This window comes from Homo sapiens, chromosome X, assembly GCF_000001405.40.
Source record: "Homo sapiens chromosome X, GRCh38.p14 Primary Assembly".
Taxonomy (NCBI): Eukaryota; Metazoa; Chordata; class Mammalia; order Primates; family Hominidae; genus Homo; species Homo sapiens.
Window position 1 is genome coordinate 108,657,438 of NC_000023.11, and position 26,656 is coordinate 108,684,093.

Here is a 26,656-nt window from a genome sequence, read left to right on the forward strand (position 1 = left end):
AGAAATTTGTTTCAGTTTTTTAAAGCTTGTCTTGGCTATTCTAATTTTTTTGCAGGGGAAATCAGTTTATCAATTTCCATTTAAAGTATCTGTAGGGATTTTTAAGTTTGCAATAACTCTCTAGGTAAGGTAGAGGAGAATTGATATTTTGACAGTATTCAACCTTCCAATGAAATGAACATGTTATCTCTCCATTTATGTAGGTATTGAGTTTGATTTAACAATATGCTGCACTTTTTGTTTTGTAAATCTTGAACATATTTTATTAAATTTATCTCTGGAAATTTGATGCTTTCTGGTGACATTTAAATCATATTGCTTTTCCCAGTTCATCTTCCAGTTGTTTCTTGGAAGTATATGGAAATAATTGACCTAGGAATATTGAAATAATATATGAGAAAATTGCCAATTTCACTTTTTAAAATTCTGAGTTTGTATAATTTTTTGTTTTATAAAATATCACCTTAGATATTTTTATTTCTTCTTTTTCATTTCTTTATACCTTTTATTTCTTTTTCATGCTTAATTGCACCAGTTAGGACCTGTAGTGCAGTGTTTAATAGAAGTGGTTATAGTCAACATCATTATCTTTTTTCTAAACTCAGAGGGACAATGATTGCTATTTTTCCATTAAATGTAATGTTAGTGCCAGGGTTTTGGCACATATATTTTACTAAATTAAGGAAATCCCTTTCTAGTCATACTATAATGGGAATTTTTATAAAGAATGGATGCGAGTTTTATCAAATTCTTTTTCTGAATCTACAGAGATGATAATTGTTTTTTCTCCTTTACTCTTGATATAATGAATTACACTGATTGATATTTTATGTAAAAATAACCCTGTATTCTTGGGATAAACTCCAAGATGGTCATACTGTACACATTATCTTTAAGTATTGTTGGACTGGATTTGCTGTTTTTTAAAAAATTATACATGGCCATGAGAGAGATTGGCCTACGATTTTCTTTTCTCATAGTGTCCTTGTCAATGTTTTAGTATAGGGATTTGCTGGCCTTATGAGCTGGGAAGTATTCCCTCCTTCTCTATTTTTTCTTTAAATGTTTCATAGAATTCACCAGTTAAGGAATCTGGATCTGTAGTTTTCTTTGTAGAAACCTTTTTAAATTACAGATTAAAAGTCTTTAACAGTTATATTACTATTCAGATGATTTATTTTTATGTCAGTTTAAATACATTGTGTTTTTCAAGGAAATTGACCATTTCATCTAAATTGTCAAATTCATTGGCAGAAAGTTGTTGATAATATCCTTGTTTTGTCCCTTTAATTTCTGCAGAATGTGTACTGAAGTCTGCATTTTAATAATGTTTTGATATAAGTAATTTTATTTCTTTATTTTGATCAAGCCTCTGAGGCATTCATTAAGCTTTATTAATTGTTAAAAATTAACTTTCGTAAGTGATTTTCTCTACCATTTGTTTTCTATTCCATTGATTTCTGCTTATATCTGTATTATTTCCTACCTTCTACCTTCTATGGATTTAATCTTGCTGTTCTTTTTCTAGCTTCTTTACCTGGAAGCTTAAATCATAGATTTTTCAGCTTTGTCTTTTCTAATAGATGTATTTAAAAACTTAAATTTCCATCTAAGGAGTGCTCAAACCATATCCCAGAAATTTTGTTCTTTTGCGTTTTTCCTTTGATCATTCGGTTTAAGATATTTTCTAATTTTCCTGTTGATTTCTGTTTTTCTCCATAGATTATTTAGAATTGTGTTGCTCAACTTACAAATATTTGGGGGCTTCCCAGATATCTTTATGTTATTGATTTTTAATTTGATTCTATTGTGGCCAGAATACATATTTTGTATGATTTAACTATTAATACTTATTGAGACTTATCATATGGCCAAATTTAGGGTTTATCTGGGTGAATTTTCCTTGTACCCTTGAAAATAATTTGTATTCTGCAATTTGTGTATTGCATTATAAATGTCCATTAGGTCAGGTTTGTTGGTAGAGTTGTTAAAATCTTGTGTATTCTTACCAACTTCTTGCCTAATTGTTTTATCAATTACTGAGAGGTAGGTGTTAAAATTTCCATTATGATTGTAGAGTTTTCTATTTCTCCTTTTCTCTCTGTCAATTTTTTGCTGTATGTCTTTTGAGATATTTTTATTAGGTATATATAAATTCAGGAAACGTATGTCTTCTTGAAGAGTTGACCTTTTTATCATTATGTAAAGACCCTCTTTATTTTCATAATACTCTTTTCTTTGGATTTTTCTTTGTCTGATATCAGTATAGATACATCAGATTCTTTATACTTAGTACAGTATAACTTTTTCTATATAATTTTTATTTTTACCTGTCTGTACATTTAAAATATGTTTTTTAGGAATAAAATGCATTCATATCTTGCTTCTTTTCGAGTCCAACAATCTTTCCCGTTTATTTGGAGTGTTTAGTTGATTTATATTTAATGTATATTGTTATGTTTGGATTTTAGTCTTCCACATTGCTATTTGTTTTATGCTCCTCCTTTGTCCCTGGTTTCCTGTTCTGTTTGGGTTCATCAGATATGCTGTGGTATTCCATTCTATCTCCTCTATTGGCTTTTAAGCTCTCCCTCTTTCTACTATTTTTAAATGATTGCTCCAAAGATTTCAGTGTGCACTCATAATTTACCACATTCTGCATTAAATTAATATTATGTGACTTCACATATAATGTAAGATTCTTACAACAGTGTAATTTTATTTACATATAATGTTCTTTTGTGTGATTGTGTTTATATATTTCAGATGATTATTATATAGGTAATAAATTTTACAATTAATTGCTATTACTATTGCTTTAAACAGCTTCTTCTAAATAATTTAGCATGAGAAACAAAACCAATTTTCATATTTACCAACATATTTACATTTCTACTCTTCTACCCTCCTGTGCAGCAGACTTCTAGTTGGTATCATTCCCTAAAGCCTGACGTTCTTCCACCGTCATTTATTGTAAAATGATTTTGCTGGTGACAAATTCTCTCACCGTTAATTTATCTGCAAATGTCTTTGTTTTAGTTCCATTTTAAATAAATTTTTCACTGGATATAGAAATCCCTTTTTGATATTTGTTGCTTTCAGCACTTTAAATATTTCTTCCACTGTCTTTTCGTCTCCATTTTTCCTGATAATAACACATCAATTATTTTTAATATTTTGCTCCTTTATATTATGTCTGGTTTTTCTCTGGATGTATTTGAGATTTTCTCTCTGTAATTGGTTTTCAATAGTTTCTTTTTGTTGTGGTTAGTTATGGTTGTATTTATTTTGCCCTCTATTCATTAATATTCCTGGATCTGTAGGGTTGTTATTTTTTAATAACTTTGGAAAATCTCAGCTATCTTTTCCTCATATATAGTCGTGTGTCACATAACAACATTTTGGTCAACAACAAACCACGTATATGGTGGTGGTCTCATATGATTATCATGGAACTGAAAATTTCCTATCACCACGTGATGTCATAGCTGTAGTAACATTGTATCACATTTATAATGTATTTTTACTGTACCTTTTCTAGGTTTAGTTATACAAATACTTACCATTGTGCTATAATTGCCTACAGGATGCAGTACAGTTACATGCTATGTAGGTTTGTAGCTTGGGAGCAATAGGCTCTGCTATACGGCCTAAATGTATAATAGGCCATACCATCTAAGTTTGTGTAAATACACTTTATATGTTCACACGATGACAAAATCGCCCAACAACTCATTTCTTAAAACATACCCAGTTGTTAAGTGACACATAACTGTATTTCTTCTGTCGTATTTTCTCCTCTTCTTTTGGAGTGCATATTAGATCACTTGATACTGTATCACAGGTCACTGAGGGTCTAGGTATGTTTTCAATTTTTATTCTCTCTGAGTTTAATTTGGATGGTTTTTATTCACTGCCTTCAAATTTACTGATTTTTTGATGTGTTCAATATTCTGTTAATCGCCACAAAAATTTTAATTTCCATTTGGTTCTTTTAAGAGTTATCATATTTTTCCAGAAATTCCCTATTTTTTACTCATTATATACATGTTTGCCTATAGATTCTTTAACATATTTATTATAGCTATTTTAAAGATCTTTTCAGCTTATTCCAAATTTTCAGATAACCATGTGTCTATTTCTATTGGTAGTTTTGTTTTTCTTGAATAAGCACCACATATTCAAGTTTCTTCCAATCTGCTAATTTTTATTGTATACTAAATGATATGGATAGTATGGTATAAAGATTCTGGATTCTATTAAATTTCTTGAAGAATGCTGAATATTGTTCTACCTGGCAGTTCAATTCCTGGTATCAACTTGATCCTGCAGTGATGGAGTTTTAGATTTTGTTATAGCAGGGCTATTTCCAATGCCCTTTGTCTTACGTGTATCCCTTGGACTTGGCATACGGGCTTTATTGTTAATGTGTGGGTTTTCTGGGGTAATTTTATTTAAAAAATTTCATTTAGTATTTCTTTTTTTTAAGTTTATTATTATTATACTTTAAGTTTTAGGGTACATGTGCACAATGTGCAGGTTTGTTACATATGTATACATGTGCCATGTTGGTGTGCTGCACCCATTAACTGGTCAGTTAGCGTTAGGTATATCTCCTAACGCTATCCCTCCCCCCTCCCCCCACCCCACAACAGTCCCCAGTGTGTGATGTTCCCCTTCCTGTGTCCATGTGTTCTCATTGTTCAATTCCCACCGATAGACTAGATTAAGAAAATGTGGCACATATTCACCATGGAATACTATGCAGCCATAAAAAATGATGAGTTCATGTCCTTTGTAGGGACATGGATGAAACTGGAAACCATCATTCTCAGCAAACTATCGCAAGGACAAAAAATCAACACCGCATGTTCTCATTTAGTGTTTCTTATAGTGAAGTCTGTTGGCAACAAATTGTCTTAGCTGTCATTCATTAGAAAACATTTCCATTGTGCTTTCACTTGTTATTGAGTTACATAGTAGACAGAATTCTACCATCTCCACCCCAAGATTTCTGGCCCCTGGTTATTTAGTAAAAAACCAATCTCCTTAAAGCTGGTAAGCAACTTCAGCAAAGTCTCAGGATACAAAATCAGTGTGCAAAAATCACAAGCATTCCTATACACCAATAATAGACAAACAGAGAGCCAAATTATGAGTGAACTCCCATTCACAATTGCTACAAAGAGAATAAAATACCTAGGAATACAACTTACAAGGGATGTCAAGGACTTCTTCAAAGGGAACTACAAACCATTCCTCAAGGAAATAAGGACACAAACAAATGGAAAACATTCCATGCTCATGGATAGAAAGAATCAATATCATGAAAATGGCCATACTGCCCAAAGTAATTTATAGATTCAATGGTATTCCCATCAAGCTACCACTGACTTTCTTCGCAGAATTAGAAAAAAACTGCTTTAAATTTCATATGGAACCAATAAAGAGCCCGCATTGCCAAGACAATCCTAAGCAAAAAGAACAAAGCTGGTTGCATCACGCTACCTAACTTCAAACTATACTACAAGGCTTTTATCACCTAGTGATATCATAGCCATAGTAACATTGCTAAGGAGAGAATCCAGCTCAGCTGTGCCCAGAATATTACCTACAGAAATGGTGAGATAATAAATGGGTATTGTTTTAAGTCATTAACTTTGTGGTAATTTGTTACATAGCAAGAGAAAACTAATGCACTATCCTTTTGTTCATTATTTAAGTTTTTACTTCCCTCCTAAATATGCTTGTTAGTATTTATTTTAGGGTCTTTGAATAGTTGCTTTTTGTATTCTGTCAAGTTTTAAATTATAATCAGTGAGAAAAAAAGGCTGTAGTGGGCTTATTCTATCTTGGCTTGCCTCAGAAGTGTTTAGGGGTAAATTTAAGAAAATATTTGCATGGTATATTCACTGAAAACTATAAAACCTGCTATGTTAGACTTTTAAATACCAAAATAAATGAAGAGATAGATCATACTTATGGAATGGAAGATCAAAATTGTTTGGAAGCCATTATCCTTAGTAAACTAATTCAGGAACAGAAAACCAAACACTGCATGTTCTCACTGACATGTGGGAGCTGAACAATGAGAATACATGGACACAGGAAGGGGAACAACACACACTGTGGCCTGTGGAGCAGGGTGTTTGGGTCAGGGGGATGGAGAGCATCAGGAAAAATAGCTAAGGCATGCTGGGCTTAATTCTTAGGTGATGGTTTGATAGGTACAGCAAACCACCATGACACACGTTTACCTGTGTAACAAACCTGCACATCCTGCATACGTACCCCAGAACTTAAAATAAAAAAAAAAAAGATGCCAGTTGCCTCTAAAGTCATTCATAGATTCAAAGTGATTCCAGTTTAACCCAACAACCTTTATTTGGTAACAGTTGACAAATGGATTCTAAAATGTGTATGGAAATGAAAGGGACATAGAATATCCAAAACAATATTGAAAACGAGGCCGGGCGCAGTGGCTCACCCCTGTAATCCCAGCACTTTGTGAGGCTGAGGCGGGCAGATCACGAGGTCAGGAGTTTGAGACTGGCCTGGCCAATATGGTGAAACCCTGTCTCTACTAAAATTACAGAAATTAGCCGGGCATGGTGGCATGCACCTGTATTCCTAGCTACTCGGGAGGCTGAGGCAAGAGAATTGCTTGAACCCGGGAGGTGGAGGTTGCAGTGAGCCGTGATCGCGCCACCGCAATCCAGCCTGGGCAACAGAGTGAGACTCCATTACAAAAAGAAAAAAAATGTGTGGTACTTGATAAGGATTGAGAAATAGATCAATGAAACAGAATTTGGAGGATAAAAAAGACTAATATACAATAAATTGACTTTTGATAAAGGTATCAAATAAATTTTTTAGAGAAAGCAAATTCTTTTCAACAAATGGCCCTGAAACATCTAGATATTCGTATGGGGAAAAAACAAAACTTAATTCATACATTACATCATACAGAAAAAAAAATGTTTTTAATTAGATCTTAGTCTGAACATAAAAGCTAAAACCATAATGCTTTTAGAGGAAAACATAGATAGATATTTCCGTGACTTGGCATAGGCAGATTTTCTTAGGATACAAAAAGCAGTAACTGTAAAAGAAAAAAATTGATAGATTAGATTTAAATTTTTAAACTACTTTTATCAGAAAACACCGCTAGGAAAATGAATAGGAAAGCCACAGACAAGGAGAAAATATTTGCAAAACATAACTGACAAATTACTGATATCTAGGATATGTAAAAAACTTCAATAACTCAATAATAACAAGATGTATTATCCAATTTTGAAAAATGGAGAAAACTTTGAATAGATACTTCACGAAAGAAGATATACAAGTGGCCAATAATCACATGAAAAGGTGATCGATGTCGTTAGCCATCAGAGAAATGCAAATTAAAACCACAATGAGGTAGCTCCATATACCCACCAGAATGTCTGTTATTACAGCAACTGATATCATCACAAAGGTTGTGCAAGGATCTGGAACAATTGGAATTTCCACACATTGTTCTGAGTGTGAAATGGTTTGGCAGTTTTTAAATAAAACACAACATATACCTACTTTTTGACCCAGCAATTCCACTTCTTGTTATATACCTAAGATAAATTAAGGCAGTGGTCTACAAAAAGACCTGTGCAGAAATACTCATAGCAGCTTTATTTATAATAGATAAAAGCTGGAAATAAAACAGGTTTTTATAAATAGGAAAGTGGATATTTGTAATAACTAAAACCTGTCAATAAACCAAAAGTCCAGCAAGAGGAATGGATTTTTTAAGTTATGGTATATTCATATAATGGAGTCCTACAAATCCTACCAGTATAATATGGTGGTAGTTATTTTTATGTTTATGAATATATAATAATGCCAACTTCAGGATAAATGGTTAAAAACATAAAATTATTATTAAAAATAGCCAACAAACACCAGCATCTTTTGGGTTTCTTTTTGTTCTTCACTGTTTCTATGCTAGCACTATAAATTGTAAGTTTGAATTGTAGCTCTTAAAGCAATGCAGTTTTTCTTTCATTTTTAAATTGAGCTCTTTACTCTAGGAACCCCAGGCCCTCCTGGACCAAAAGGTATTAGTGGCCCTCCTGGGAACCCCGGCCTTCCAGGAGAACCTGGTCCTGTAGGTAAGCATGAAAAATAACAGTTTGCTGTTTTATAAAACTAATGTTTATCATATTAAGTTTGGGAAAGTCAAATCATGTTCAGCTGTGAACATTTTCAACACAAGGAAATATAGTGTTCATTCACTTAACACTGCATGTGAGGTACAGAATGAATAACTTTTAATAAAAAGTGCTTAAAATTGGCTGGGCACAGTGGCTCACGCCTGTAATCCCAACATTTTGGGAGGCCGAGGTGGGAGGATCACTTGAGGTCAGGAGCTCGAGACTAGCTTGGTCAACATGGTGATACGCCATTTCTATTAAAAATACAAAATATTAGCTGAGCATGGGGATGGGCTCCTGTAATCCCAGCTACTTCGGAGGTTAAGGCACGAGAAGTGCTTGAACCCAAGGGGTGGAGGTTGCAGTGAGCCAAGATCGTGCCACTGCACTCCAGCCTGGGTGACAAAGCAAGACCCTCGAAAAAAAAAAAAGGACTTAAAATGATCATATGTGACCTTATTTTCTAGGCCCACTTTTTCCAGGGAGAGTTAATTCAAGTGTCCTAGAATAGAAGCTTTGATTTTTTTAGAATGGCAGGCTGTAGTAAGTAAGTTTGTTTATTGATTTCTAAAGTAAATAACTTCTCTTGGCCCCATATGAGGCCTATAATTCTCCCCACCACCCTTCGCACCTTACTCTCTTAGATATTCTGAAACTATATTAAAATGAAGAACTGAAAGGTTTTAGATGCTGAATGACTATTCCTTATTTTCATTATCCTCCTTCATATTTTTATAACATTTTGTGATCCAAAGGAGTGTCTCAAAAGCACCTTGTTTCTTTTGGATAAAGAAGGGAGCATATGGAAGTAAAAGGGAGTTGGAAATTGGAAAACTGGGTGTAACCTGCTGTACTCAATTTTTTAGGTGGTGGAGGTCATCCTGGGCAACCAGGGCCTCCAGGCGAAAAAGGCAAACCCGGTCAAGATGGTATTCCTGGACCAGCTGGACAGAAGGGTGAACCAGGTGCTGTAGTTTTTCATTTTTCCTATTTTTCTAATTTTCTCTGTGTTGAATTTAACTTGCCTTTTTATTACCCACAGTGAAATTGTATCTTCTTTCTTACTAAGCTACCACACACTTTCCCCTTTTCCTAGTTACCGTCTTCCTCTTCATCCTGAGACTATTAGCTCATGTATCTTGATCAAGTTGCCTCTTACAAAAAACCCCATATCTTTTCTTGTCTAATTTTTTATATCAAAAAGAAGTTACCTAGCCTTTGCAAATTTCTCTGTGGTTTACTATGCAATCTATATTTCATTTATATTTTTTTCTTATAAGCATATAGATATATTTAACATTCATCGGAAATAGAATATATGTTTAGATCATTTTCTCATGTTAGAATTGCAGTTCTGTGTTGGAAATAAATCTTCTGCATGTTTCATATAATATACATTGCTGCACCTAATGAAAACCTCAATGATCTAAAAATAATTTGGCCTTGTTTCAGTTTGTATTATCCACTTGAGTTTTTGTTTTGTTTTGTTTTGTACTCTGACAGGTCAACCAGGCTTTGGAAACCCAGGACCCCCTGGACTTCCAGGACTTTCTGGTAAACCTTAATAAAACATGCTAAATCAATCTATAATAAAATGAGATTATTTCCAAATACATCTATTTTTCCATCTCCACCTTTTACTATCATAAAATGCATGTAAGAACCCAGAAAACTCAAACCTAGTGTTAACGTTAAAACATTTATTATTTAGCAACTTAGTTTAAGGAGTTGTGTTAAATAAAAATGTATCCTTACGGAAATTTACATGTAGAGATCTCTTCACTAAATTCATAAATAAGTGCTGAGGAAATAAGAAAGAAGGCAAAATTGCAGGAAGATAAGAAAAGTCTGTAGAAATAAGAAAAGTCTGTAGAAATATACGCCAATAATAAAAATGTTTCTGGAAATTTCAGTCTTAATATATGTTTTGCATATTTGGGTAGATGTGTGTGTGCACACACACATCTACCCTCCCTCTTTTGTGCTTACTCTTACTGTGAGCACCAAATAGTAGAAGGACTGAATGTACATACAGACATGTATGTTTATGTTCTGAAATGACGACTGGCCATTTTATGGAGACTTTTCTCAAACCATACACATATCTCCTGTAAAGTCAAATAGATATCCTTCCCATGATACCAACATGGAAATTATTACTTTAATGTGCCACTGTTACATTGCTCTTAAAAGTGTCAGAGGTAGAGAAAAAATGTTGAGAACAATTTTGCTAGACGGTGATTATAAATATTGGGTAGAATGGTCTTCGGGGACACATGACAACCATTGAAGAGCCATATCTTTCATTAGTCTCAAAATTAGACTCAAAATATTTGTTTTAGAAATTTCCTCCAGCCATCTTGAAACTATTTTTGAAGATACTTTATACTTTTTTTCCTCACAGCTATTGGTGATGTATCATTGCTCTGTCTTAACACAAAGGATACCTTTTAGGATGAAAGCTATTATTATTTCTACATTTCTATATATACTCTAATAAATACTTCTGCTAACAAATGCATATATTTAATAGGAAGGATGGTTTTCTGGGTAGATTTGGGATTTGGTAGGAGATAGAAATGACTCTTGTGAATTCCATTAATTGCCCTAATGTATGTGAATAGCTAACCTTATAAGCAAGCTTGTAACTCGGTATTATTTATCTTCTAATTATACTTTACTTTCATAGGCCAAAAGGGTGATGGAGGATTACCTGGGATTCCAGGAAATCCTGGCCTTCCAGGTCCAAAGGGCGAACCAGGCTTTCACGGTTTCCCTGGTGTGCAGGGTCCCCCAGGCCCTCCTGGTTCTCCGGGTCCAGCTCTGGAAGGACCTAAAGGCAACCCTGGGCCCCAAGGTCCTCCTGGGAGACCAGGTATGTCCGTGAGTGGTAGGAGAATGGTCTATTTATTAGTCCATGTATTTCGTTTTGCTGGCAGGTTATTCAGTCTTTAAGACTTTAGAATTTTTCCGGTGCATTGGAGGATGTTAAAAAAAAGACTTTAAAATTTGTGATATAACTTCTTACAAGTAAATAGCTTGGTTCATAGCTAACTCCATCTATTTCCATGGTTCTAATAATTTGCTTTAGTAATGCATTTTATCATTTATATAGAGGAAGTAAAACAATTTGGAGGAATAAAGGAAATGGTAGTTTTATTAGTCTTGTTACTAAAAGGTAAAACTATACTGTTAACCTGTCAGCAAAATGCCATCTGCATTTTTAAATGTGAGCTTCTCAGCATGTCATCACAGAAATCATTTTAGTGATCACCCAATAGATGCTTGTGGTCCATACCAGAAGTATTGCTTTGGTTCTGTCATATGATCAGCAAATCTCACCAGGCACAATTAAAAAAATTATCTTCTATAGGAACTGGGCAATCAAATTTATCTCCAACATCACAGCATGATCAAATTGACTAGTGATCTCTTCATACCAACCTCATGTCTATACCTCATTTGTCTTGTGTTCACTGCTCTAGTAGTCTCAGTTTTGCATCCAATGTTCACCTTTTCATTTTGTATCTGTGCTGTGTCATTTCATTTTACTAATTTTGGAAATGCTCGTTTTCATCCTTGATTAATGTCACTGAGCCTAGTCACTGGTGATAGGTTATGAACAGATTTTGAGACTTGATATTCAAATTTTATATTTCTGGTCACTGAAAACTTGGAAGTAAATGTCCTTTTATTCTTTGAAAGTCTCTGACATTATATAAGTGCATTTCAAAATGAAAAATGTTATTTATATTACAGTAAAATCTAAAGTGATTGGAATTCATTTTAATAAGATGTTCTAAACACATGAATTAAATGGGATCACATACTGTGTTCAGAGGATCATTTTCAAAACCAAATTTTATCTGATCTGACATAATCTGATGGAAAGTATTGTTTAAGGTTTTATGTTTGTATACTACTGAAGAAAACCAGTGAAAATCTCCTCAGCCATGTTAACTCTCTTGCATGTAATGTAAAGAACTGAAGCAAGTATCTTGCTTGGTTTTGCATGCAGTAATTCAAATAAACCAAACTATTATCTTTTTTATATTTTAATCATCACTGTGGTTATTCGTTCTTACTAGTAATGAATGAGTAATGAGCTCACTGTTGAACCTTACTTTGAAATTTGTCGGTATGAAGCCATTAGTCACAAAGATGTCCTAAAAATTACATTTTTAAAGAAATAATAACAAAAGTAGTTAGAAGAATGCACACCTGATGAGTGTTTGTGACTTCTCAAATTATTTCATAAACTATAAATTAAAACTGAGTTGTAAACCCCATTGCTCTTAGAATTGATTGTTCTTAGTCTGAGCTCATAGTAATGATTATGATAGCAATGACTTTTGGCCTTTAAAAATACGCCACAGTGTGCTGTTTTCATTTTAGTTTTGTCACTAAGTGGTGATAATTTGGTTTATATACAGATGCATGGATATGAACTTTCAGAGTATTCTTTTATTGAAATGAATTTTAACTTGAAAGTATTTAGTGTAATGCTTTTTAGTTTCTTGATATTTCTAACAGTTTTGATATTTTTCCTTTTTGTTAATGATGACATTGGGCCTTGGTGAACTTTGATCCCTATCCAGGTCCTACAGGTTAGCTCCTTAACTCCAAAGTAGTAACTGCATGAAGTTTGAAACTTATATACCTGTACCAAATGTTTTCAAGTGTTTGAATGTATTTTAAGAGCATATGTGCCAATTCAATTCTTACATAGTGGCTTATCTCTTTAAGTTTTTAGGAACTTGTAGAACCCAGTGTTTCTGTCTATTGGAAAGACCCAAAATTACCTAACTAGGAAAACTAATTTAACATTTAAAAATTCATATATTTGTGTCATTTTCAGTTGAAAATCTGTAGTACCGAAAACAGCCTTACATATTCTACCTTTCTTTGGAGTCTGTTTCTTATGTTTAATTTATATCTGTTAATGCAAACGAATTGAACTATCCTTCAAAAGGACATTCTTTTTTTAAACAATAATATGTATTATCAGATCTTGAAAATATGTAATTCTTAACTTGCCATATCTTTTGCAGGTTTTCAAACTATCCCACCTTCACATTTTGGGTTGTCACAAAGTTCTCAATTCTACTGCTGTTAAAAATGGACTAATAGGGCCGGGCACCATGGCTCATGACTGTAATCCCAGCACTTTGGGAGGCCAAGGCGGGTGGATCACCTGAGATCAGGAGTTCAAGACTCGCCTGACCAATATAGTGAAACCCCATCTCTACTAAAAATATAAAAATTATCCAGGCGTGTTGGTGTGCGCCTGTAGTCCCAGCTACTAGGGAGGCTGAGAAAGGAGAATTGCTTGAACCTGGGAGGTGGAGGTTGCAGTGAGCTGAGATTGCACCACTGCACCGCAGCCAGGGCGAGACTAATAGGCACAGAGAAAAAAAAAATCAATGCAACCAGCACAGATTACGAGGTTCTTAATCTTATTTTCATTATACATGTGTAAACAGTACACACCAAAGAACAATTACCAAGAGCTACCTAATGGAAAATTGCTGATTCTTAGTGAAAGATGTTTGTTTACCTAATTAGCAGTAAAAAAAGCCACAAATATTTGAATGTATTTATTGTTATTCAAAATAAATAGTCCTTTTCAAATTGTTAAGAAAGAATCAAAAGAGGTAATAGTATACCCCATGATATCTGGCTGTTGAGAATGGCAGGACATTTTTTCATCTTATAAAATTAAAAAAAATAATTTTTCAAGATTATTTTTAGGGAGCCATTTGTTTCTACCTGAATTGATTCTCTAGTTTCTTACTCCACTGCAAACTCATTATTTCATAGAACCATAGAATGTCAGATCTAGAAGGGACCTAAGTTTTACCTATGTCGAGGAGAAATTATCCACAAGACAGATTTTATTCAGGACTATTGCAGTAGAGTAGAAACTATTGCAGTAGGAGAGAGACTGAGCTCAACTTCAAATACAACAAAGAAAAGTGATTATTTACAGCCAAGGAGCAGAGTGAGAGGGCCAGTAATGGAAAATTACTAAGAGGAGACATCAAGGGTAGAGAGGGGTGGGTTCTTGTTAAACTGGCCCAACAGGATTTTTGCCAGAAACAGGCCAAGGATTTAGACATCAAAGGTGGGAGATCAGGAACTTGATCAGATATCGGGGTGAAGGGACTCTCTCTAAACCGATTTAGCAGGATTATTGATGTAAATGGATTTGGAAGGCCAAAAAGTAGGCCCAAGGATGAGGCCTAATTGAGAGGAGGGCTCAGAGGAGCCTGTCTAAAGTTTGATCAAGGAATCTTTGTCACATATGAAAAAATGGAGGCCCAAAGAGGTTAAGAAACTTGCTCAGGGTAATACTGTTAGTTAGTGGCATAACTGGGACTCTGACTTAAGGCTCCCCAGTGATCAATTAGGTGTCTATTCTACAGGGAGCAGACTGTTCGCTGCATCCACTTTCTTGTTTTCTGTTACCTCAAAAGCTCCGTCAACACCTCCATCAACCAGATTGCTTCTTGTGTTCTTCTTAAATGATGTCATCAAAAAGATTAAGACAGTGCATACTATTTAACTATCACTAAGATAAAGCAAAGACTAGGGGGTTACTTTGAAGTAATGTTGAGTCCCACCTTATCTGACCTACATAGAATTTTGCCACTTTGATTACTGCTAAACTCTACTGTTAGCTAGGAGATTTCTATCTTCTGAGTTACTATAATATATTCAAAGAAGAAAAAGAAAAGTAGCCACATTCCTTTAAAAGAAATTTAACAATTTATTATTTACAAAATGTGCTCTAAATTGCATAGTTGTTGGAACTTGGTCTCTGTGATGTTTTCTTCTTTGCAAGACTACAACCTTAAGTGGAAACTGAATTTAAAATATACCAGTCAATTCATCAGTATACCTTTAGTAATTACTACTTATGGACAATATTTTAGGTTTTTGTTTTGTTTTCTTTTTCAGTTTAACTTTGTTACACAGTTGAAAAATAATGGATTGTGGACCTCATACAAAAAAAAATTGACTTGGCATATAGCTCATTAAAATGTTGCTTTTTAAAATAGAGTCTTAGAAGTTTTGCTATGATATGATCCACAGTTTTCCTTGCTAATTACTCAGGCTGAAATGTCATATTTCAATGAAATATTTTGCTGAGAGTTCTTGTTATTGGTCCCTCTATATCAAACACATATATAAAATGTCTTTACTCAAACCTTGAGTTGTCTTAGTTGGGAATTCTAATTTATTTAACTAATTTTGTGGCCAGACTCTGCTCTAAGTATTGTCTTGAGTTAATTTGCTGTCTGTGATTTAGAAACAATTTAAATAAACAGAAGCCAATATTTAGCTTTCTGAATTTCAAAGTATCAAATGCTTTGAAAGTTTTATTAGGAGATAATGATAATGTTTTCTATTTATATGACATGCCACAATTTACATCATATAATGTACTTTTATTGTAAGCATCTTAAGGGCAGAGTTTGAGTCTTGCTCATCTTTGTGTTTCCTGTAGCACCTTGCACATGGCAGACATTAGGCCAGTATTTTACAACTTGAATTTGATCTTTAAAACATTCCTGTGAGGGAGGTTAGGGCAGATACCAGTATTCCCATTTTACAGGTAAAAAACCATACTCAGAAAGATTGAATTGCCCAAAGTCATATAGTTATTAAGTAGCAGAGTCAAAAATAGATCCTAGGTCTTCCAACTCCTAGGATTCATTGCTCTAGCACAATTTATTCTCTCTGCTAACATTTGGTGCTTATAAATCATAGCAAAACTTGTAAGAAAAGAAAATTGTGTTTTTAGTCAATTAACACTAACCAAGGGGTGCTCTATTTGTAGGCTTTTAATCTTTTTATTTAATGATCCTTCTTTTAATAGTGAATAGCCTGTCTTAATATGTGCATTGAATAATAATAGAGTAAATATGATATTTTCTGTGGTTCGGGGTGGGATATTGCATGCCAAAACATTTTCAAGTACCCTTTCACTGATAGGCTTCATATCTTGGAAAAGTTGAATCTTTATTTTTGTGTTCAATGTTGTACAAATATATATTGGCTTTTTCTCCTTAAGTAACTTATTGCAAGTACTATAATAATAATATAATAATAATAATAATAATAATAGGCCAGGCATGGTGGCTCACGCCTGTAATCCCAGCACTTTGGGAGGCCGAGGTGGGTGGATCACCTGAGGTCAGGAATTCAAGACCAGCCTGGCCAACATGGTAACACCCCGTTTCTACTAAAAATATGAAAATTAGCCAGGCGTGGTGGTGGGTGCCTGTAATCACAGCTGCTCGGGAGGCTGAGCCAGGAGAATCCCTAGAACCCAGAAGGTGGAGGTTGCAGTGAGCTGAGATCACACCATTGCACTCCAGCCTGGGCGACAGAGTGAGACTCTGTCCAAATAATAATAATAATAATAATTCAATAAATAGTAATAGGAAAGCCTCCTGGTGAATTATGAAAAAAATCAGAATGTGGCTTCATGAAATGCTTTTCAAATACAAGCAAAAGTACAGTTGGTAATGGCCATCGTATATTCATGTTTTGATTTTTCTATTCTGTCACCCATGATCTTTATATTTATTGCCAATGAGGCCTTTAAAGTCAACTGTATCTTCTTGAAGCAGTCTGAGCATATCAAGAAATTGGCACCTGGTGTTTTTATTAAAAGATAACACAAGCCAAGATAAACTTCAGCATTAATCCAAAAATACCCCTTTACTAAAGGAATTTGAAGGCTGTTGGTGAAATGGTACTATCTAGCCAACTTTAATGTTTTGAGAAGCTAATTTTTGGAAAGCCACAGTAGCAGTGTTAACATGATGTCTTCAGTAGAGTTTTCTATTTTCTGGATTAACGAAGACCAACAGCTTATCCTTTAGAATAAGCTCTATTTGAAAAAGTTTGGCTCTCTATACTTCTGTATGGTTCTGTTTGCATACTGATTATGCTGTAAGTATAAGAAATGCTGGCAAAGAACATTATTGTTTTAACTTGTACTATAATGTGAACCACTTCTAACTCATAATCTTATTTTGTACTGTGTGATGTCTGATACTGCTAACATCGATCTTTGGGCTTTGGTGAACTCTGATCTTCCCAGGTTTTCAAGGTTAGACTCTTCACTGGTCAATTCTTTTTTTTTTTTTTTTTTAATGCTTTGTGTGTGTGATAAGAGAAATGCAATTTTTTGCTATAATTCAGAAGTCATTGGAGAGTGCTGTTATCCTCAAGCTGGGGTTTTAACATTTTGATGAAGGTAATGTGACTTGATTATAATTAAGTTTCAAATGACGTTAGGGTCTTTGTGTTTGCAATTGTTTATAATAAGTAATCAATACATAAAGACATGTTGAATTTTAAACGGAAATACACTTATTTTTACCTTCAAGACTGCATTAAAATATTTAGGCAAGCATATGACCTATTTGTAATCTCTGAATGTTGATTTTATTTTCTCAAAATTTTGTTTTCTCAGATTGCCCTGATCTGTGTATTTATGGCTATTTTCAGTGATGGCAGAGATATACTATTGAATACTGTTAAAAATAAAACTTATATGTTCTTTATGTAATTAATAACTCATAATTTGAAGGACTCTAAACATCAGGTCTGAATTAACATGCAAGTTTCCCATTTTTTTTTAATTTCGAAAAGTGCAGTGCCTTAGGTTATTTCAGATGATACAGTGTTCTGATAACTTTTAAAATGGAGTAGAGGGTCATAAAAGGTTTCTTTTTTTCCCATCTTACTTTGTTATTGTTATCAGGTTGATTCACAGTTTATTTATTTTTCATAATTAGCTGATTTGCTACTTAATTTCTAGTGCAAATCATACATTGTGGATTAAATTGACAAGTTTGCTTAGAACACTGAAGTTCTGTTTTTTTATTCAAATGTACAATGTACTAAACCTTTTCGTTATGATTGAGAAGGGAATTTCTGTGTTGACTGGTTGCCAGCCTAGGGTGACTATATGAGTTAAATTGTTTAAATGTAAAACAATTGTTGTACTATTGTAAATCTCCTTCCTCTTTCTCATATGCCAGATAGAGTCATGTTATATTATGAAATTACATAGAAATACCTGAAAGATTAAAAAGATGCTCATATTTTAAGATTTGTTTTTATCTTCAATTTTACTAATAAAGAAAATAATAATAATTTTAAAAAGTCCTTCCATAGCTTCTACTATATACCAGGCACTGTGCTAAGTAATTTTTACATTGTATCTCATTTAATCCTTGGAACAACCTGCTAAAGTAGGTGCTATTCTTAATTCCATTTTATAGAAGAAGAAATTGAAGCCAAGGAGATTAATAATCTTACTGAAGTCAAACAGCTAATAACTAATGGAGCTGTATTTGTAACCCAGCATTCTAGCTCCAAAGTCCTGTGTTCTTAATCACAGTGTCATTCTGCCTTGTTAGTATTTTGCCATTGATTCTGAATCTTAAGAGTATTGGAAAGGGAACTAAAGTCTGAATTTTATTTTAGGTTAAAAAGACAACCCTTTGTCCATAAGAATGAACTCTATTCTAAATTCATAACAAGTGCCTATTATAGTTCCTCAAAAAATAATCCCTACATATCTTCATTTTTTGTTGAAATCAATAAAATTTGAAATGACCAGAGGAGAGAAGGTGTAAATGCTAACTATTGGCTGTTCATTATTTAGGGTTTTGTAATTATTTTCTTAAGGCAGGATTACTTAGTCTCAGCCTCAGCCACTGAACACTCTGCAAGCAAGTAACACCTATTTGCCACCTGGTGACAAAAGACTTGGCCAATGATAAGATCTCCCTGGTTGCTTAATGGACCTCATACCTTTATTCAGAAAAAGAAATTAAAAACACAGCAAAAGTAAAAATGCTAAGCAAAATCCAGTTTTAAATTATTTTGTTTATTCACAAGATACATACAGAATTCTTTATTTTTCTTGAAAAATATTTAAAATGTAAAGAATATGAAAACATTTTAAAAATGAATTTTAAAGTACTTTATTGATTCAATAAATTTCTAACATTTAAAAAAATTCCTATGTATCAAGCATATCACTAAAATGAAATTAGTTTGCTTAAATTGCTATCTGTATTGCATAGTAATAAAAGCTGAATAAATGTAACTACTTACAAATAAAGCAATTTGATCTTAATCACAATGAGACATGGCTTGAATTTCTGATTGCCCTACAGCAGTGATGCTTAAAGTGTGGTCCTGGAACTAGCAGCTTTAGCTTCCACAAAGCACTTGTTAGAATGCAAATTATTGGGCCTCTCCTAAGTCTCTTTTTTCTAAATTATTTATTCTTAAGACTGGTCAAGTGCAGTAACGAGAAGGGAGGAAAGAGTTGAACAAGGAGTTCAATCTATAACTGAACAATCAATTGAGATAACTCACTACCTTCAGACCAGTCTCCTCAGTCTTACGGAATCCAAAACTCTTGGGGTGGGCCCAGGAATCTGTTTTAACAAGCCCTCTAGTTGATTCTGATGCATGCTCCAATTTGAGAAAATACCCTACAGTTTCTGTTTAATTTAACTTTAAGTCAAACTCTTTGTTAAGAATTACAGAGCCACACATTGTTAAGCCATGAGTCTTTTTCTTTAGATGTTATTTTATTGAATTTAATATATAATAAAATGTAAACTAAAAGAGTCTGCAAATCAGTGTTCATAACAAAAAGAATCCAGTTCAATTTATATTAGAAAGGGAATCAGCATAGGTCTAGATATTTTAATGTTGTGTGGGTTTTATTCTGCAAACTAATAGGAAGATGACTGATATTTTAAAAGCCTGACTTTTATGCTACTCTTAACACTATACTGAAATGTCGTCATTTGCTGTGGATTATTAAGGTCTACCAGGTCCAGAAGGTCCTCCAGGTCTCCCTGGAAATGGAGGTATTAAAGGAGAGAAGGGAAATCCAGGCCAACCTGGGCTACCTGGCTTGCCTGGTTTGAAAGGAGATCAAGGACCACCAGGACTCCAGGTAGGAAATGGAAGTAGATATCTGATGAGAGAAGAATGTGGGTGTTTGTATTCAAAATGTGAATTCTAAGCTGCATCATTTTAATTAACACTCACTAGACAAGGTTCTATGTGTGGCTCACTGGCGAATTAAAAAGACAGTAGAAGGCAAGTTTCCTATAGTCTCCTAAAGGGACTTTGTTGTATTATAGTCAGAGTTCCTGAAAAGATACTTCACCTGGAGTCTTTGGTATGCATATTTGGATTTGAGTAGCCTTCATTTCAGTGAAAGCAAATTTATGCAAAGGAGACATGCATATTAGAGCATTGCATATAGATGAATCCACCCATAGAGAAGTAATTATGGTGAATAGAGGCATCTTTTAGGCTTTGAAATTAGATAAAGTTAGGGTCAAATGTCAGCTCCCCTGCACACTTCTGCTTTGTATCTATGAGGAAAACAGACACTGGGTTTCTGTCTTCACCTATAAAAAGAGAATAATAACATATCCACTCATGTGCTTTCTATGTTGGTTTGAGTGACCCAGAGCAGAGAGTCACATTCCTCTTTATGGGTTCTCAAAACTGCCTCCATTCGGTCAAGATGATTGCTGGTGGATTTGGCAGTCAACACAATCTGGACTGTCTTTTAATTCTGAAGACTGCTTTATGGCAGAAAAAAAGTATTTAAAGTAGTGATCCTTAAAGCTTTTCAAAATCTAATCTTTTTCCCCATGCCATCACTATTCTTCCAGTTACCTAGACTTAAAAATTTACTTCTGTTTACTCATTCTCTACTCACTCCCTATAAATATGCATATTTCCAGAAACAATTAAGAGTAAGTTTCACCTGCTATACCCCTTTACCACTAAATATTTTAATGCAGATTTCTTAAGATTAAAAATATTCTCATGTTTTATTATAAGATGACAATAAAAAGCTATGGGATTGTTTATATTTTATAAAATTCTTACCAAATGTCTTGGCTGCAGCCTGTAATCCTAGCAACTTGAGAGGCTGGGGCAGGAGGGTTGCTTGAGGCCAGGAATTTGAGACGAGCCTGGACAACATAGCAAGACCCTGTCTCTAAATTTTTTTTAATTATATAACCACAGTACACTTATTAACTTCAGAAAATTTAACATAGATATACATTAATTTCTATCTTTCATATTCCAGTTGGGTCCAATGACCTAATAATGTTCTTAGCATTTCTTCTTCCAGTACAGGATCCAGGCCAAGTCATGTTTTGCATTTAATTGTCATATCTCTTTAGCCTTCTTTAATCTGAAACAGTTCCTAAGTTTATTTTCTTTTTTTCATGACCTCGACATTTTTAAGAAATTGTACCACCACCCCCATTTTTAAATAGAATATTCCTTTTTTGCCTGATGTTTATTCATAATTAGATTCAGGTTATGCATCCCCAGCTGGAATACTACATGAGTGGTTCTGTGTCCTTCTCAGGCTAACCGATAAGGAGGTCCATGATGTCTATCTGCTTCTCATTTGTGGTTTTAGTTTTAATCATCCAGTCAAGTTGTTGCTCAGTTTCTCCACTGCATCATTAGGTTTTTCCTTGCAACTAATAAAACTGTAGGAAGGCACATTAAGATAGTGCAAATATACCAATACTCATCAAAAATTTCCCTTAGATTTAACATCTATTAATGATTTTGCCTCAACCAGTCTCTAGTGGGATAGTGGCAAAATGATGTTGTTTCAACTCTAGCACTACCTCCACATATACTAGTCAGTCCTACTGTAAGCAAGAGCCCTCCCTTCTCTCTGGTTTACCTATGCATTTCTTATCATTTTTGACTCATTTTTTCTCATGTTTTCCACTAATTTACAATTTCTAAACTATCATTACTTATTTCGATGCTCTCATTGTTCCAGATTTGGAAGCCCCTTCAAGCTGGATTTGATGTTTTTCTGATATGTACTTCCCTCCAACTATTTTTTTAGCACTTTTTAATATTATTTCATAATAAGATGCTCCAGGCTTGTTCCTCTTTCATTCTTACTAACATAAGCTTCGTTGTCCTGCACTTGAAGTAGAGCAATAGCCTCCTATATGATCTTGCTATTCTATATTCTTCCTGTAGTTGGGTGGCTGAGGGGGGATGATTGTTTGAGCCTAGGAGTTTGAGGCCAGCCTGGGCATCATAGTGAGATCCTATCTCTATAGAAAAGAAAGAAAAAACAAAGAATAAAATAATAGTTACCTTTCATTAAGTACACACCACACACCAGTCTTCTAAGCACTTAATATTGTCAGCAAAAGACAATGAGATCTAGAGGAGAAAAAGGAAGAGCTTTATTTTCTGTAAAAAGTAATCTGCGGATTGGGAAGGCACAGCTTTCTGTACAAGCGAAAGTGTGATCTCTGAAGAACAAAGGGAGGGTTTGGCTTAAGTAGGGAAAGTTCTCACCCATGTTCTCAACCAGGTCCATTTATGCAAATGAAGGATTCAGACTTATCAGTTCTGATTGATTGAAATACTTGAGCCCTGATCAGGTGATTTCCAAAACCAAAGCCAGAAGTCTGCCAGATGTTTCTTTCAAATGGCCAATGGGCAGGGGGTGTGTTCAAGCCACAGTTTATCTTCGCAGTGGTTTGACTTGATTGTACAAAGGGAGATCCTGTGACACTTTTACAACATCTTTCCAAGAACACAAGGTATGTGACATTTCCCTTACCCAACCACGGCCAGTTGGTTGTGTTTTAACTTTGCGCACCTCAGTTAGCCATGGGAAGTTCATTTTGTCTGTCAGCCAGGGGTATATTTTAACAATATGAACTGTCTCATTTAATTCTCACCACAACCCTATGAAGTAAATACTGTTATTTTCTCCAAATTTGAGGTGAGAAAACTATGAATCAAGGAGGTTAAATAATCAACTCAATTCACACAAGATAATATAAGGCAAAATTGAGATTACAGTCTTGGAAGTTTGACTCTAGAAATAGTGCTATATGCCACTATGTAATTCTTATGCCCTCAATCACCTTCCTCCCCTCGCTGCAATTTTTTTGTAACATTAATGATTTTATTTATTCAGGGTAATCCTGGCCGGCCGGGTCTCAATGGAATGAAAGGAGATCCTGGTCTCCCTGGTGTTCCAGGATTCCCAGGTATTTGAAGGGATTTTTGTGGTTTCCCTTTATATTAAACTCCTCTGGGACAAGATAGCCATTTTCTGATTTGACTGGGTAAAGGTTGTAGCCCTGTTGCTTTGCCATAAAACTGTATGTACCTTCTGTGCAGGCATGAAAGGACCCAGTGGAGTACCTGGATCAGCTGGCCCTGAGGGGGAACCGGGACTTATTGGTCCTCCAGGTAAGACTTATTCCTGAAGATAGTTATACCTGATACTTAGATGCTTTAAAGAATTTGAAAGTTTTCATTCTGTCTTTCAGCCAGACCATCGGAGGCTAAGTCCCCAACAACTGAGGCAAAATAAACAAGGCTCTGCCTTTATTTACTAATCTCTTAAATTCTCTATTTTAGTAACATAATATTGATAGCAGACCTTTTAAAGTTAAGATAAATGCAGGATCAACAAAAATGCTTCCTTGACATTAGCTTCTATACTAACTTCCCCAAATTCAATTGAACAGATCACAAGAGCAAGTCACATATGAATTTTTTATAATATTTTCGATATTAAAATAGTTCTTTTTCCTAAGAGGCTTATAGAGGTTTCTTATAAATTGAGAAATAAGGAATCTGCTAAATTCCCCTACTAGATCAAAGGGTCCCTGGACAAGCACAGCAAGCAAAAACTGCAAATGATGTTGGAGTCAGAATGGATGTGTAAGGGAATAAAATTGTCTTCCCCTGACACCAGTGTTCACAGATTTGAACACAGATGGATGAGACTTTGTAGTAACTGAGTAAGATTCAAGGTTTGAAAATAGAGATGATATGCTTAATTTTTACACTGACCCTAAGAAACTTATTTTTCAATTGAAAATTATTTTTCAATTTTAAGTTTTCCTAAACAGATTTCTGTTAGATATGGCAGCAATTCAAAAACTGGTTTCTCTCACACCAATTTTTGTCCTGAACTTAGGTCACTTTGGCTTCCATTTCTTGTAACCTTTCTCTTTCCCTTCAAATTTGTGTGTTTTGTCTCATAGGTCCTCCTGGATTACCTGGTCCTTCAGGACAGAGTATCATAATTAAAGGAGATGCTGGTCCTCCAGGAATCCCTGGCCAGCCTGGGCTAAAGGGTCTACCAGGACCCCAAGGACCTCAAGGCTTACCAGGTACCAATGCAGATCATCTTTATTATCATTATTATACTTTTAATTTCTGGGATACATGTGCAGAATGTACAGGTTTGTTACATAGGTATACACTTGCCATGGTGGTTTGCTGCACCTATCAACCCATCATCTACGTTAGATATTTCTCCTAATGCTATCCCTCCTCTAGCCCCCCTACCCCTTGACAGGCCCTGGTGTGTGATGGGCCCCTCCCTGTGTCCATGTGTTCTCATTGTTCAACTCCCACTTATGAGTGAAAACATGTGGTGTTTGGTTTTCTGTTCCTGTATTAGTTTGCTGAGAATGATGGTTTTGTCCATGCAAAGGACATGAACTCATCAATTTTCATGGCTGCATAGTATTCCATGGTGTATATGTGCCACATTTTCTTTATCCAGCCTATCATTAATAGGCATTTGGATTGGTTCCAAGTCTTTGCTATTGTGAACAGTGCTGCAATAAACATACGTGGGCATGTGTCTTTATAGTAGAATAATTTATAATCCTTTGGGTATATACCAAAATGGGATGGTTGGGTCAAATGGTATTTCTAGTTCTAGATCCTTGAGGAATCGCCACACTGTCTTCCACAATGGTTGAACTAATTTACACTCCCACAAACAGTGGAAAAGCATTCCTATTTCTCCACATCCTCTCCAGCATCTGTTGTTTCCTGACTTTTTAATGATCACCATTCTAACTGGTGTGAGATAATATCTCACTGTGGCTTTGATTTGCATTTCTCTAGTGACCACAGATGATGAGCTTTTTTCATATGTTTGTTGGCCTCATAAATGTCTTTTTTTGAGAAGTGTCTGTTCATATCCTTTGCCCACTTTTTGATGGGATTGTGGTTGTTTTTTTCTTGTAAATTTGTTTAAGTTCCTTGTAGATTCTGGATATTAGCCCTTTGTCAGATGGATAGATTGCCAAAATTTTCTCCCATTCTGTAGGTTGCCTGTTCAAACTGATGATAGTTTCTTTTGCTGTGCAGAAGCTCCTTAGTTTAATTAGATCCCATTTGTCAATTTTGGCTTTTGTTGCCATTGCTTTTGGTGTTTTAGTCATGAAGTATTTGTCCATGCCTATGTCCTGAATGGTATTGCCTAGGTTTTCTTCTAGGATTTTTATGGTTTTAGGTCTTACATTTAAGTCTTTAACTTATCTTGAGTTAATTTTTGTATAAGGTGTAAGGAAGGGGTCCAGTTTCAGTTTTCCATGTATGGCTAGCCAGTTTTCCCAACACCATTTGAATATGAAATCCTTTCCCCATTGCTTGTTTTTGTCAGGTTTGCCAAATATCAGATGGTTGTAGATGGGTGGCATTATTTCTGAGGCCTCTGTTCTGTTCCATTGGTCTATATATCTGTTTCGGTACCAGTACCATGCTGTTTTGGTTACTGTAGCCTTGTAGTATAGTTTGAAGTCAGGTAGCGTGATGCCTCCAGCTTTATTCTTTTTGCTTATGATTGTCTTGTTTATATGGGCTCTTTTTTTAATTCCATATGAAATTTAAAGTAGTTTTTTTCTAATTCTGTAAAGAAAGTCAATAGTAGCTTGATGGGGATAGCATTGAATCTATAAATTACTTTGGGAAGTATGGCCATTTTCATGATATTGATTCTTCCTAACCATGAGCATGGAATATTTTTCCATTTGTTTGTGCCCTCTCTTACTTCCTTGAGCAGTGGTTTATAGTTTTGCCTGAAGAGGTCCTCCACATCCCTTGTAAATTGTATTCCTAGGTATTTTATTCTCTTTGTAGCAATTGTGAATGGGAGTTCACTCATGATTTGGCTCTCTGTTTGTCTATTATTGGTGTATAGGAATGCTTGTGATTTTTGCACATTGATTTTGTATCCTGAGACTTTGCTGAAGTCACTTATCAGCTTGAGATTTTGGGCTGAGACAATGAGGTTTTCTAAATATAGAATCATGTAATCTGCAAACAGAGACAACTTGGCTTACTCTTTTCCTAATTGAATACCCATTATTTCTTCATTTTGCCTGATTGCCCTGGCCAGAACTTCCAATACTATGTTGAATAGGAGTGAACTCAGGATTAAGAAACTCACTCAAAACCGCACAACTACATGGAAACTGTACCACATGCTCCTGAATGACTACTGGGTAAATAACGAAATTAAGGCAGAAGTAAATAAGTTCTTTGAAACCAATGAGAACAAAGACACAATGTACCAGAAT

General features: G+C 34.7%; 1 protein-coding gene across 9 annotated transcripts in view; it reads left to right on the plus strand.

Moving 5' to 3' along the window:
- The window catches only part of COL4A5 (collagen type IV alpha 5 chain), a 257,708-nt gene that overhangs the window by 217,600 nt on the left and 13,452 nt on the right, over positions 1-26,656 (plus strand). For 3 of the 9 annotated variants that reach the window (XM_047441810.1, NM_033380.3, XM_011530849.3), the window contains 10 exons: positions 8,070-8,150; positions 9,059-9,157; positions 9,696-9,746; positions 10,882-11,067; positions 12,791-12,799; positions 17,308-17,316; positions 20,063-20,196; positions 23,242-23,314; positions 23,448-23,519; positions 24,323-24,451. In XM_047441810.1, the coding sequence (XP_047297766.1) occupies positions 8,070-8,150; positions 9,059-9,157; positions 9,696-9,746; positions 10,882-11,067; positions 12,791-12,799; positions 17,308-17,316; positions 20,063-20,196; positions 23,242-23,314; positions 23,448-23,519; positions 24,323-24,451 (843 nt within the window). Of the gene's footprint in view, positions 1-8,069; positions 8,151-9,058; positions 9,158-9,695; positions 9,747-10,881; positions 11,068-12,790; positions 12,800-13,243; positions 13,831-17,307; positions 17,317-20,062; positions 20,197-22,791; positions 23,218-23,241; positions 23,315-23,447; positions 23,520-24,322; positions 24,452-26,656 lie in introns of those variants that run through there. The other 6 variants (NM_000495.5, XM_017029260.2, XM_047441811.1 and 3 more) reach the window with 4 other exon arrangements.